This window comes from Homo sapiens, chromosome 12 (assembly GCF_000001405.40).
Source record: "Homo sapiens chromosome 12, GRCh38.p14 Primary Assembly".
In the NCBI taxonomy this organism is placed as follows: Eukaryota; Metazoa; Chordata; class Mammalia; order Primates; family Hominidae; genus Homo; species Homo sapiens.
In genome coordinates this window covers 120978543-120993299 of record NC_000012.12, presented here as the reverse complement: position 1 = coordinate 120993299, position 14757 = coordinate 120978543, and the positions used below count along the sequence as shown (strand labels likewise).

At 50.4% G+C, this 14757-nt stretch overlaps 1 protein-coding gene across 4 annotated transcripts in view; it reads right to left on the bottom strand.

Moving 5' to 3' along the window:
* Positions 1–14757, bottom strand: part of HNF1A (HNF1 homeobox A) — a 23970-nt gene extending 9213 nt beyond the window's left edge. For all 4 annotated transcript variants that reach the window (XM_024449168.2, NM_001306179.2, NM_000545.8 and 1 more), the window contains exons 1-2: positions 14206–14757; positions 4268–4467 (exon numbers count right to left, since the gene is read on the bottom strand). In XM_024449168.2, coding sequence (XP_024304936.1) covers positions 4268–4467; positions 14206–14531 — 526 coding nt within the window. In that variant the 5' untranslated portion in view covers positions 14532–14757. The remainder of the gene's footprint in view (positions 1–4267; positions 4468–14205) is intronic.

The following is a 14757-nucleotide window of genomic DNA, read 5'->3' as shown; positions in this document are numbered from 1 at the left end:
CTGAATGCTTTCCTACCAACCCAAGATATGATCTCACCATCCTTCTCAGTACAAGACTGCAGGTAAGCATTAGCATTTGTTCTGATTTGGCACATTTACTATCCCCATTGTACAGATGAGGAAGCTGAGGCTCAGAGAGCTTACATATTTTTCCAGAGTCACGCAGTAGAGCAAAAATTTGAGCCATATGTCCTCAGTGTATTCAGAATTATATTCAGCTTTCCAGACTTGAAAATCAGGCTTAAAATGCAAATGTTAGCTAGAGGAAGAGACCCAGCCAGCCTTCATCAGCTGGTACCACTTTACTGGAAACTGGTCTACCAGCTTATCCCTGAGCAGGCCACCAAAGGACTGGGACACACAAGTGCTAGGACAGCACTTTATGAGAAGAGAGGAAGGTAGATTCTGAATCAGGGGCGCAGCAGCAGCAGCAGGGCCCTCACCATCTCAGTGCCAAGAAACAGCAGCGGGCATAAGTGGCTAGGACTACACACCTGCTGCACCACACCTGGCTCATTTATTCGTATTTTTTGGAGAGATGGGGTCTCCTTCTGTTGCCCAGGCTGGTCTTGAACTCTTAGGCTCAAGTGATCCTCCCACTTTTGCCTCCCAAATGTGCTGGGATTACAGGTGGGTACAACCACACCAGGCTGGGAGCTGGTAATATTCTATTTTTTATCTGTATTGGTGTGTTCACTTTGTGAAAATTCATTGAACTGTATGCTTTGGATTTGGGCACTTTTTATGTTAGACTTCATTTAAAAGTTTCTGTTATAGCAGACACAGTGATGTGTGCCTGCCATTCCAGCTACTTAAGAGGCTGAGGCAGGGATCACTTGAGCCCGGAAGTTCAAAACTAGCCTGGGCAACATGGCAAGACCTCATCTCAAAAAATAAAATAAATAAAAGTTTACATTATCAAGTATAAAAAGAGTCATTCAACTGAAAGTAGCTGAAAAGAAGAGCTCTTTTCCTTCCAAGGTTGCTAAGCTGGTAGGATGGCAGCCCAGGGCTTCCAGAACCCATCTTTGCCTATATGAGGAGAGCCTGTCTGAGAATGAAGCCAACAAAAAAGAAAAGAGTCAAGAAATGCTGTGTGAACCTCATTTGAGCCCCTTGATCTAGCCATGCCTGAAGCAGCCCTGGACTCCTCACATTGCTTCAGTCAATTCATTCCCTTTTCTGTTTAAATCCATTTGAGTTGGGGTTCTGTCCCCTGTTACTGAAAGAGTCCTAATACTACAGTCATATATTGACTCTGCATCTCAAATTCTCCAATTTCTCCTTAAAAGTTAAAAATCCCCCAGGGAAAGCTATTTGGGCCACAGTTTGCATCTCTATTCTCAGCTCTAGGCTGAAGTCCTTGATGACATTTCTAACTGTTAGAAATTTTTTAATGCATTTTATCGAATATTGTAAAATTTCGTCTAGTGATGGTTTTAGGAGAACACTATTTCTCTCAGAAACTAAATCTAGTTCTAACAGATTTTCAGAATAAATCTTTGTTTCTTCTCATACAAATTAAAATAGTATTAAAATGTACTGTTTTTCCAAGTGTGTATTACAGCACAGTAGAGTGTGAACACCCCAATAATTGGGATGAGGGGTAGCTATAGAGTAAGGACTAGAGTTGTCTATTGCATGCATGCATGCATGCATACATACATACATCATACATACATACATACATACATACATACATTTATTTGACAGAGTCTCCCTCTGTCACCCAGGCTGGAGTGCAGTGGCGTGATCTTGGCTCACTGCAACCTCTGCCTCCTGGGTTCAAGCGATTCCCTTGCCTTGGCCTCCCAAGTAGCTGGGATTACAGGCATGCGCCACTATGTCCAGCTAATTTTTGTATTTTTAGTTAAGATGGGGTTTCACCATGTTGACCAGGCTGGTCTCAGACTCCTGCCCTCAAGTGAGCCACCTGCCTTGGCCTCCCAAAGTGCTGGGATTACAGGCATGAGCCACTGCGCCCGGCCTGCATACATTTTTTTTTTCAACAGTGATTTTTACTGCTGGTGGAAGTGTACATTGATATAACTTCTTTGGAAGGAACTATGCCAATATGTACCCAAGATTTTAAAGCAGCTACTCTGTGTTCCAGCAGTCCACTTCTAGGAATTTATCCTACAGACACAGTCACATGTGAACATGCACTTATATAAAGAAGGATGTTTTTTGCTGCAGTTGGTTGTATTCGCAGATTGCAAAATCCCTAAAAGTCCTTCAGTAGGTGGCCAGTTAAACAAATAACAGCCAGCAGCCCTTATAAAGAATGAGATCCATCAATCTCTCAGTGCCAATATGAAAAGATATACAGGATTTATTGCCAAGAGACAAAACACAACATGTAAAATAGTGTGTCTAGTATGTTCCCATTAATCAGAAAAAGAGCAAGAAAATAACATATCTATTGCTACTATATGCAGAAAATCTCTCTGGAAGGATACACAAGAGTCTGGGAATTCCAGTGGCTGCTTTAGGGTAAAGGCATCTAATTTTTCTTATAAACTCTGTTTTTCTTCTTTTTTTTTAACCAAATGTGTATTGCCTTTCTTTCTTTCTCTCGTTCTTTTTCTTTCTTTTCTTTTCCTTCCTTCCTTCCTTCCTCCCTTTCCTACCTTTCCTCCCTTTCCTACCTTTCCTCCCTTTCCTATCTTTCCTCCCTTTCCTATCTTTCCTCCCTTTCCTATCATCTTTCCTTTCTTTCTTTTTTAGAGGAGGAACCTTGCCATGTTGTCCAGGTTGGAGCCGAACCCCTGGGGGCTCAAACAGTCCTCCCACCTCAGCCTCCTCAGTAGCTGAGATTATGGCACACCACCATGCCTGGCTATTTCCTTTTTTAAAAACCTGGATAATTAAGGCCAGGCGCGGTGGCTCACGCCTATAATCCCAGCGCTTTGGGAGGCCAAGGCGGGCGGATCACGAGGTCAGGAGATCGAGACCATGGTGAAACCCCGACTCTACTAAAAATACAAAAAATTAGCTGGGCGTGGTGGCGGGCACCTGTAGTCCCAGCTACTCGGGAGGCTGAGGCAGGAGAATGGCATGAACCCGGAAGGCGGAGCTTGCAGTGAGCCGAGATCACGCCACTGCACTCCAGCCTGGGCAACAGAGTGAGACTCTGTCTCAAAAAAATAAAAAAATAATAAAAAAAAATTAACCTGGATAATTAATAAAAGAAATGTCAAAAAATGTCACACATAGATGGAGGTTGGAAGGTGACAGTGCCCTTGGGATTTGGTGGGGTATGAGGCCTGGAGAAGAAAACCCACCATTCCCTGAGTAATAGGGCTCCCAGAGCTTCCTGAGTTTGCAGTGGAGGATTTCCTGACCGTAGACCTTGCCTCTGAGCCTTTACTGATGCTGTTCCTTCTGCCTGAAACACCCTTCCCTGCGTCTCCATGGGTCAAAATTCAACTCCCACTTTAAGACCTAGTCTAAAGGTCATATTCTAAAGGTCATATTTGCAATGTGAGGCTTCCTGATACCTCTGCCTTCCTGAGGAAGAACAGGTTACTCCCCAGTCGACAGTCAGCTCAGCACCCTGAAATGCTTTGTGTAATACTCTGCACTGGACCAGGCACCCCAAAAATGCATGATAAATAGTGGCCATTATTGTTGTTGTTGTGGCTGCTGTTGTCCCATTCTAATACATGACTCGCTGGATCATAATGAGCTTTTCTCCCACTTTCCCACTTAACCATGGGCTCTGAGAAAGCAGGGACCCAGGCCGGGTATGGTGGCTCACGCCTGTAATCCCAGCACTTTGGGAGGCTGAGGTGGGTGGATCACCTGAGGTCAGGAGTTCGAGACCAGCCTGGCCAACATGGTGAAACCCCCGTCTCTACTAAAACTACAAAAAATTAGCCAGGCATGGTGGTGGGCACCTGTGATCCCAGCTATTCCGGAGGCTGAGGCAGGAGAATTGCTTGAACCTGGGAGGAGGAGGTCACAGTGAGCTGAGGTCGCACCACTGAACTCCAGCCTGGGCAATAAGAGCAAAACTCTATCTAAAAAAAGAAAAAGAAAGCAGGGACCCATTTCATTCATCTTTGGATGTTCAGGACCAAGTCTACTCCCGTCCCACAGAGTGCCTGGCGCAGAATAGGTAATAAATGCAGGTTGAATCCCACTGACTTCCTTTCCATCTACCTGTCTGTGTAATGGGGATGGTGAAGCTTCCAGCCCCCACCTATGAGTTAGGGGAGAGTCCTGGGCCCTCCCAGGGAAGATGCGGGGTAGGGTCATTACTTACGCTGCGCCACCTCTCGCTGCTTGCGGACGTACCAGGTGTACAGGGCGGCCCGCTTCTGCGTCTTCATGGGAGTGCCCTTGTTGAGGTGTTGGGACAGGTGGGACTGGTTGAGGCCAGTGGTATCGACCACCTCCCGCTGTGGGATGTTGTGCTGCTGCAGGTAGGACTTGACCATCTTCGCCACACGCCACGGGTCCTCCCTGGGAGAGGGCAAGGACGGGATCTGCTCAGCAAGGGCTGTCTCTCCCCATAGGTGGGGCTGCGGTCCTGGGTGCTGGAACCTTGTCAACCCTGAGGGTGGGGACTGTGCATGAAAGCAGTTATGGAGCCCAGGGGCCTACACATAGACTCAGGGACGGTGAGGTATGGTCATTTATGCCAGGACACAGGGACACAGACACATGGTCATGAGGACAGAGACTTGTAGACGCACACACATGACAAACGTGGACACAGGCCTATGGATACAGACACTGGAACAGATAAAGGTTTAGAAACATGGATACACAGACACACAACACAGATGAAGATATGTGGATGGATGGATGGGTGAATGGATGAATGGATGAATGGGTGGATGGACGGATGGATGGATGGGTGGGTGGATGGATGGATGGGCGAATGGGTGGATGGATGGATGAATTGGTGGATAGATGGATGGACTGGTGGATGGATGGTAGGGTAGAGTGGATGGACAGATAGATGGGTGGATGGATGATGGATGGATGGATGGTTGGATGAATGGATGGATGGATTGGTGGGTGGGTGGGTGGATGGATGATGGATGGATGGATGGTTGGATGAATGGATGGATGGATTGGTGGGTGGGTGGGTAGATGGATGATGGATGGATGGATGGTTGGATGAATGGATGGATGGATTGGTGGGTGGGTGGGTGGATGGATGATGGATGGATGGATGGTTGGATGAATGGATGGATGGATTGGTGGGTGGGTGGGTGGATGGATGATGGATGGATGGATGGTTGGATGAATGGATGGATGGATTGGTGGGTGGGTGGGTAGATGGATGATGGATGGATGGACGAAGGAGACCTGCTGGAAAAAGGAAAGCATTAAATCTGAAAACAAGGAAAGAAATATGGATTCTCCAATTTTACACCTACTCCAGCCTGGGTGACAGAACAAGACCCTGTCTCAAAAAAAAGAAAAGAAAAGAAAAAAAGTGCATTTACTGCCAGTGATTAGGGTGCAAACACGTAGATAGATAGATAGATAGATAGATAGATAGATAGATAGATAGATAGATCAACTTTGTGACTTTTTGCCCTAAAGGCTGTCTTAGAACTGAATCCTTTCAGGTGGGTGGGACTCTGCTTGTCCTGTGACCTTGGACAAGGAATAAAATGATGCAAATTCTGTGGGCCTCAGTGGCTTCTCTCTCTCTGTATATATATATATGTGTATATATATATATATATATTTTTAAAAATGCTTCCTGAAAATCTGCACCCTTGGCTGTGGCCAGGCCTGTTTCCCTGCAGCACCAGAACAGGAGGCTGGTTTTTCTTTTCTTTTTCTTTTTTTTTTTTTTTTTTGAGATGGAGTCTCACTCTGTCACCCAGGCTCGAGTGCAGTGGCGCGATCTCGGCTCACTGCAAGTTCCACCTCCTGGGTTCATGCCGTTCTCCTGCCTCAGCCTCCCAAGTAGCTGGGCCTACAGGCACCCGCCACCACGCCCGGCTAATTTTTTTGTATTTTTAGTAGAGACGGGGTTTCACCGTGTTAGCCAGGATGGTCTCGATCTCCTGATCTTGTGATCTGCCTGCCTCGGCCTCCCAAAGTGCTGGGATTACTGGCGTGAGCCACCGCGCCCGGCCGCGGCTGGTTTTTCAACAGAGTCTCAGGTGACAGGGTTGACATTCAGAGGCCTCATAGTACCAAAAATGCATGTGAACACTGGAATCCTACTCTGTGGGTTGAGATTCTCCCACCAGAGAGACTCAAAGGGACCTGATGCCACCTGTGAGTCATGTCTCTGCTGTGGGTCTCCCTGTGGGGGAACAGAAGGGATCAGACTGCCTGAGCCATATAAATTTTCTCTCCTCCTCTCCTGCTCTGTCTCAATCCCTGCCTCTTTCTCTCTCCCTCTCCTGAACTTATATTACCAATATGTCACAGATAGGCTGGGTGCAGTGACTCACACCTGTAATCCCAGCACTTTGGGAGGCCAAGGTGGGCGGGTCTTTTGAGGTTAGGAGTTCAAGACCAGCCTGGCCAACATGGAGAAAACCATCTCTACGAAAAAAATAATAAAAATAAAAAATAAGTCAGATATTGTGGCAGGTGCCTGTAATCCCGGCTACTCGGGAGGCTGAGGCAGGAGGATTGCTTGAACCCGGGAGGCAGAGGTTGCAGTGAGCCGAGATCGCGCCACTGCATTCCAGCCTGGGCAACAGAGTGAGACTCCGTCTCAAAAAACAAACAAACAAACAAAAAGTTACAGATAAATACAGCTCAATACAGCAGCACTGAAACAGGCAGACTGGGATTTGAACTTGGGTCTGCGTGATTCCAAAGCCTGTGCTTTCCCCTGCCTCGCTGAGCAATTCGCTTCTAGAATTTGTGGCTTTTAATATTGGCACAGGTGACAAATGGCACAAGTAGAAGGCAATTCCTTGCCACGTTGCTTGCCATAGCAAAAGATTGGAAGCCACCAAGGAGCCCAGCAAAAGGATACTGATTAACTAAATGGAGGTGCATCTGTTCAATGCAACCACTGAAAAAACCCCGCTGAGGAAGCTCTGTGTGCCCAGGTGGAGCAGAGTTTATCTGGTGTGTCTGCTGTGCTGCTACTTATGAATAATTTGAAGTGAGGTAAAAGAGGATTTCTACATATTTGTGCACGTGTAAAATACCGGAGGGCACGCAAGGAACTGGGGACTCTGGTTCCTTCCAGAGGAGAACGGGGTGCTGGGGATGGGAGTGAGAAGGACAGTTTTCTCTGTTGTCCTTGTGTACTTTGTAAATTACATAATATATACTATATATGCATACATGATATTTATTTTTATTTAGTTTTTTTTTTTGAGACAAAGCCTTGCTCTGTGGCCAGGCTGGAGTGCAGTGGCGCGAGCTCAGCTCACTGCAACCTCTGATTCCCAGGTTCAAGCGATTCTCCTGCCTCAGCCTCCCGAGTAGCTGGGATTACAGGTGTGCGCTACCACACCCAGCTAATTTTTATATTTTTAGTAGAGACAGGGTTTCACCATGTTGGCCAGGCTGGTCTCAAACTCCCGACTTCAGGTGATCCATCTGCCTTGGCCTCCCAAAGTGCTGGGATTACAGGTGTGAGCCACCGTGCCCAGCCAATATTTATTTTTATTTATTTATTTTTCTTTTTAGAGGCTACTTGCTCTGTCTCCCAGGCTGGAGCACAGTGGCGTGATCATAGCTCACTGTAGCCTCAAACTCCTGGGCTCAATTGGTTCTCCCACCTCGGACTCCCAAGTACTTGGGACCACAGGCACATGCCAACATGCCCAGCTAATTTTTGTACTTTTTCTTCTTTTTTCTATTTTTTTTTTTTCATAGAGACAGGGTCTTGCTATGTTGGCCAGGCTGGTCTCAAACTCCTGGGCTCAAGCGATCCTCCCACCTTGGCATATATAATATTTAAAACTGAATTGTAAACTGGGTATGGTGGCTCATGGTGGTAATCCCAGCTCTTTGAAAGGCCGAGGTGGGAGGATCACTTGAGCCCTGCAGTTCAAGACCAGCCTGGACAACATAGTGAGACTCTGTCTCTATAAAAAAAAAAATAAATTAGCCAGGCATGGTGGTGCACACCTGTAGTCCCAGCTCCTCAGGAGGCTAAGGTGGGAGGATTCCTTGGGCCCAGGAGTTTGAGACCAGCCTGGACAACATAGTGGGACCCTGTTTCTACAAAAAATAGAAAAATTAGCTAAGTGTGGTGGCACAAGCCTGTAGTCCCAGCTACTTAGAAGGCTGAGACAAGAGGATCTCTTGAGCCCGAGAGGTCGGGGCTGCAATGAGCTGTGATCGCGCCACTGCACTCCAGCCTTGGCGACAGAGTGAAATCCTGTCTCAAAAAAAAAAAAAAAAAAGTCTGAGAACTCATGTTTCTTGAGGATTTACTGTGAGCCAGGCACCGTGCTGAGGACTGGCCACTTACATCTTATAACCCTAGGAAGTAGACGGTGTGCCCATTTTGCAGAGGAGAAAACTGAGGCTCAGAAAGGTGCAGTCACTTGTGCAAGGTGATCTAGTTGGGACTCAAAAATATTTCATGTTGCCAGGACCACCCCACCCCCGCAGGCCTCTCCCCAGCTTCTCTCTCTCCCTTCTTTCCGGGGCTCCTAGGATCCTCTCTCCTTCATCTCCCTGCTTTGCTGAGTGCCAGTCAGAGCTCAGAAGGAAGGGCAGTACAAAGTCCAGCCTGGTGCTCTGTGGCAAACATGTTTATCTGATCCTAGAGCCAGGCTGCCTGATGCCTCCCCTCCCCCATCTGCAGCCATCACCCTCCTGTGCCATGTCCTCCTGTGTCCTCCCTTCCTCCCTCCTTCCCTTCTCTCTCCCACAAAGAGAATAGGGTCAGTCTTCCTCTCACCTCTTGAGAGCCTCTCCTGGGCTCAAACCAAAGATTTTCTATGTGCCCCTGTCCATCTGATTCCATGTCTGTCTGTTTCTTTCTCTCTCTCTCTCTCTCATTCTCATTCTCTCATGCCAGGTCAAATTTAAGCTGAACTTGAAAATAAAACAAAGGCCAGCCACCCTGCACAAATACATGTGCAACCCTTAGAAACCGAAGACAGGCTTTTGAATGTGAAAATGGAAAGCAAACTGTTAAAGTGAGCTGATACGAACGTTCCACTTTTAAACAATTCCTAGTAGAGTTGGGCAAAAAATCCACAACAAAAAAGTGAATTTTAAATGCCAGTTAGGAGTCAGAGAACCAAGAGGGCATGTCTTTCCCTTTTCTGGGAGAAGCCACCTGTGCCACTTTTTTCTAGAACCTACTGAATCGATGTCTCTCTCTCCCTACCCCCCACTCCCTTGCTATCACTCTCTCTCTTCTGTCTCTCTGTGTGTCTCTTACACAAACACACACACACACACACACACACACACACACAGAGTCTTCAAGGGCCTGACTATTTTTGAGGGCAGATTCTCCAACTGTCCTAGCTCAGAACTAAGAGGCCAAGGCTGGGCGTGGTGGCTCATGCCTGTAATCCCCACACTTTGGGAGGCCGAGGCGGGTGGATCACATGAGGTCAGGAGTTAGAGACCACCCTGGCCAACACAGTGAAACCCTGTCTCTACTAAAAATACAAAAATTAGCTGGGTGTGGTGTCGTATGCCTGTGGTCCCAGCTACTCAGGAGGCTGAGGCAGGAGGATCACTTGAACCCGGGAGGCGGAGGTTGCAATGAGCCAAGACTGCGCCACTGCACTCCACCCCCAGCAACAGAGTGAGACTCCATCTCAAAAAAAAAAAAAGAAAGAAAGAAAAAGGAAAGAACTAAGAGGACAAGTCTCCAGGCATCTCCTGCTTTGACTCTAATGGGTTTGAGAGTCAAACCAATGTGGGTTCAAATCCCACCACTGTGACCTAGCCACGCGTGCTCTTGCATGACCCACATCTGCCCTGTAACGTGGGGTAAATCCACCCCTACCTCACACTGCTACTGGGAAAATTAAATGAGCTTCAAATAGGGAGGATGAACTTAGGGCAATGCCTGGTGCACAGTAAGTGCTGAATTTGTGGAATAATATTGTCATCATCATCATCTTAACAATGCAGCCCTGGAGACCCTTGGCCCCACACAGCAGAGCCCAGGAGAAGTGAAGACCCGCCCACATCTTCCTCCTCTCTCTCCTACCCTTTCCAGGGTCAATCGGATGTCCAAGGCTTTGAGCCTCTTGCCCTCTGGCCCCTGGGGTTTCAGGGCATGCAAGGTTGTGGTATTCATCTCCACATCTGGAGGGGAGCTGACTTCTCAGTGTGGGGGCTTTAGACCTGGCCTTGATTCTTTGCTTAACCTCCGTGTGCCTCAGTTTCCGCATCTGTGAAATGGGGCTAATGATATTTCAGACTTCAGAGATGGGGAGGAGGAAAAAATGAGCTTAGCGCATTTTGTAAGCCCTTTGTGAACTCCAAAGCACTGTATGGAAGTGAGTTGATGGTCAACTTAAACAGCAGGAATGACTGGGGAGGGGAAAGTGTGACCTCGAGGTTGCTGTATGGAGCGTGAGGTAGGAGGACCCAGGTCCAAGTCCTGGCTTGCCTTCAGTCATTTGGAAGAGTTTCGTTCGGTAAGGCACTGCCTCTCTCAGCCTTAATTTGCTCATCTGTAAAATGGGATCACTAATAATAACTGCTGTATATTGCAGTTACTACATGTTTACTCTACAAGTGCCATGCCATTTAACCCTGTGGACAAGGGCTATTGTCATCTCTACCCTGCAGACGAAACTGAGGCTCAGAAGTATAAAATCACCTGCTCAAGCTAGAAAGGGGCAGAGCTAGGATTAGGATGCAGGCAGTCTGGCTTTTGTTGGGGACGTCAGATCCTCTGTCCCCCCCCCCTCCTGCCGTGGCTACTGTTTTCCTGAGTCTCAGTGCCCTGATGCTGCCTGATGGGCAGGATCAGAATACTTCAAGATTGGGGTTTGAAGGCTGAGGGCAGTGGCTCTGAGTGCCTGTAATCCCAGCACTTTGGGAGGCCGAGGCGGGCGGATCACCTGAGGTCAGGAGTTTGAGACCAGCCTGGCCAACATAGTGAAACCCCATCTCTACTAAAATACAAAAAATCAGCCAGGCGTGGTGGTGCATGCCTGTAATCCCAGCTACTCGGGAGGCTGAGGCAGGAGAATGGCGTGAACCCAGGAGGCAGAGCTTGCAGTGAGCCGAGATCGCGCCATGCACTCCAGCCGGGCCGACAGAGTGAGACTCCGTCTCAAAAATAACAACAACAACAACAAAAAAGAAACACGCTGGGGTTTGAGCTGATCAGGGACAGAAAGGACCCGGGAGGACACCCAGGAAGGAACTCTGGGTCCCAGTTTCTCCCTTGGCCACGTCTCAGGCTGCTGGGCCCTGACCAACAGGGCAGCAGATATCTTCAGGGCCTCAGACAATCCCAGTCACTCACTCATTCCTGCTGTGCATCAGCCACTGGGCAGGATGTGGGTACAAGTGGTAAATAAGGCAACACGGGCCTTGTCCTTGAAGAGCTTCTATTTTCATGGCAGGAGATAGAAAACAAACAAATCAGATGATCACAAGTCTTGACAGGGAACCAGAGAAAGTGAACAACAGTAGTGGAAGAGAGTGACGGGGGTGGGGCCCCCTTTTGGATGGAGCAATCAGGGAGCTGAAGGAGAAGGAATCGGCCATGGGAAGATCTGGAAAGAGGTTCTGAGCAGCAGGAAGAGCACGTGCAAAGGCCCTGGGGTGGGAATTGGCTTGGGGTACTGAGGAACAGCAAAGCCAAAATGACTGCAGCAAAGGCCGAGAGGAAGAGAAAGACCTGGGAAGAGATCCAGGAATTTGGTGGGGTGGAGGGAGGGGAACGAAACCAAGGCAGGGAGTTTGGACTTTATTCCTTGGCCAGGGAGGGAAACTGAGGCAGAAGGAGAGGAACAGACTTTCCCAAGGTCACTCAGGGAGCTAAGGGGGAGATCTGAAGAAAGAGCTCAGGTTCCTGCTGTGGCCACCAACATGGGGCACCCCAGGGAGGCCTGGGACCCAGGACCCACCCCGGCTTCTTCCCAGACACTGACTTCTCCCGGGAAACAGCTTCTACTAGACATTCTGCCTCTGTACCGTCTTCCCAGCCTCAACCTCCCCAATGGCCCAGGCCTTCAATAGGGGTCCCCCGCCCCTCTCTCCCTGGCTCCTTTCCTGACCCTGACGCTGGAGGCCCCACTTTTTTCACTCAGGGCGTTTTCCGATCCCTTTTGTTACCTGAACAATAAGTAACCCAGGTAGTTAGTTATAAACTCTGCAGGAACAAGGAGCTGGTTGATAATTTATAGCAACATCTCAAATTTAAATGGAAAGTAAATAGCATGCTGTTAGCATTAAAGAAAACCCAATCGGGGCAGGCGGGAAGCACTCCAGCCTCCTTGCAAGCTTGGGGCGCCTCATTCTCTCCCGTGCCCCTTCTCCCAGCTGGGTCTGAGCCCCCGCCCCCCTGGCTCCTCCGTTCTGCTTCTCCCAGCTTCTCTGTCCATCTCCCCCAATGGCCTCTCTCTACACTCTCTGCCTCAGCTTCCAGGTCTCTGCTGGTCCCTAGGAAGCACTTTGACCTCTGCTTCCCCTTCAAATGCTGTGGATCAAGCCTCCCCAACCCCACCATCCCACCAAAGGGGGCTGCTGACCGAGAGAGCTCACTCAGCCAGGTAAGAAAGCATCCCCTGCCCCCACCCTCACCCCAAAGCCCCCAGTCCCATCTGGGGCCCTGGGCAGGTCAGGCCCAGCCCCACCCCGTCAGGTTGCCTTCGCCCTGGGTCTGGGATGCCTGACTCTTTGCCCCTCCCCTGCAGCTCTGGAGTCCTTTGCCCTCCTCTTCCTGCCAAGTCAGGGGGCCCTGACTGCTCCCCTGCCCCCTGTCCAGGCCCTCGGGAGGCTCCCTGAGGCCTCTGGGAAAGCAGGAATCCACCAGCCCTCCCCCACCCCAGCTGGGATCAGGACCTTGGACAGAAAAGAGATGGGCCCCTTTGGAGCATCTTTGGGGCTCGGTCTCTCTCTGACTCCCTGGCCACCCCCTGCAGGCCTCTGGTCCCCGGTCATAGCAATTGAGAGCACCGAACAGAGTAGGTTTGGGGCCTCAGTTTGGTGAACTTAGTCTAGCTCCTTCCCGGCTCTAAGCCCCAGTTTCCCCATTTGTGAAGCAGAGTCACCAATAGCTTCTGCCCAGGACTCCTCACCATGAAGGGAAATTATTCCTGTGAAACCTCAGCACAGCGCCCAGGAAGTAGTGAACCTCCTCAAGCAGGCGCTGTAGGGTGGAGGTCAGGGAGCCGCTGGGGAGGGGTGGCCCCTGTAGCCCCCAGGCCATCCTTCCTTCTCCCCCACACCCCCATCCCCCACCCCCACTAGGTGGGAGGTGGGTTGGCCCAGATCTTTCCAGGCCACCATTCCTACAAGTTAATGATCACAGACCTTATCAGAGCCTTTTGCCATTTATAAATTTATAAAACAAAAGAGAAATAATAAAGCACATGGGTAATTAGTAACTAGGTCAGCTCTGCTGAGGAGAGGGGAGGCATCGAGCTCAGGACCCACCCAGTTCTCCAGGAGACGGGGAGTCCGCCAGCGGATGGGGATGTAGAACGGGCAGCCTCTAATGGCGCCTGCTGGTGAGGTGGGGTGCCTGTGGCCATACAGGAAAGGGGAGCAGCTCCCACCTCGAGGCTCTGTCTGCCTCAGGTAAGAAAGACCTGGGCTTCCCTGGCTAAACGCATGAGTCCCTAGGAGGCCAGGAAAGCCCCCAAACCCCAGCTTCGGGCCCTCCTCCCTGGCAGTGCTTCCTGGGCCCCGGAGCCTACCCACTGAGGACTCAGTGCAGGAGTTAGGGTCTGGAGAGTATAAATGATCAGAGTGGCTAAAAATTTCCACCACCTCCCAGTTCTCCAGGCATTTGAGTTGTGAACTCACCTGCTTTTTCTCCCATCTTGGACCCCCCTGGGAAATGTCCCCCTTGCCCAAGGACTGGGCTAAAGGCCTGGGCTCATGGGATTTGGGACTCTGCAGAGGAGCAGTTCAGGGGCTGGAGGCTCAAACCTCCAAGCAAGGACCCCTGGGCTCTCATGGGCCCTGTCCCCCTTCCCAGCAACTAGGCTAAAGGCTGAAGGTCATGGGGACTCAACTCAGAAGGGGGGCTCGTTAGGAGCTGAGGGGGGCCCCTCTAGGCTCTCCTGGGAGCGGGGACGGGGCAGGGCTCCTTACTGCAGAAGGGTCTCCACCACGGCTTTCTGGTGGGCCGCCTCCTCAGGGCTGAGGTTCTCCAGCTCTTTGAGGATGGGTGGCGTGAAGTCTTCCCCATCGTCGTCCGTCTCGTCCTCGGAGCCCCGAGTCTCCCCCAGCCCATTGGGCAGCTCAGCCAGCTCCCCTCGACCGCCGCCGCAGGACTCCCCCTTGTCCAGGGGGCCTTCTCCAGCCAGGAGGTAGGGCCCCGGCTCACCCAGTGCCTGGATCAGTGCCTCTTTGCTCAGCCCTGACTCGAGCAGGGCCGCCAGGAGCTCCGTCTGCAGCTGGCTCAGTTTAGAAACCATGGCTCGGCTGCCACAGGGCCACGCGGCCCGGGTCCACCACGCTAGCCGCCTCCCCCACCGCGTGGGTTGCGTTTGCCTGCCGGCCGGCAGACACAAACCAAACTCCTTGCACCCACTGCCCCCCCAAAACCCCACTAGCCAAGCCCTGTGGGCACCCCCAACCCCCAACCCTGGCCCCAGCGGCCCGTGAATCAGGGCCCCTGCCTGTTCTGTTTACATTGGAGCT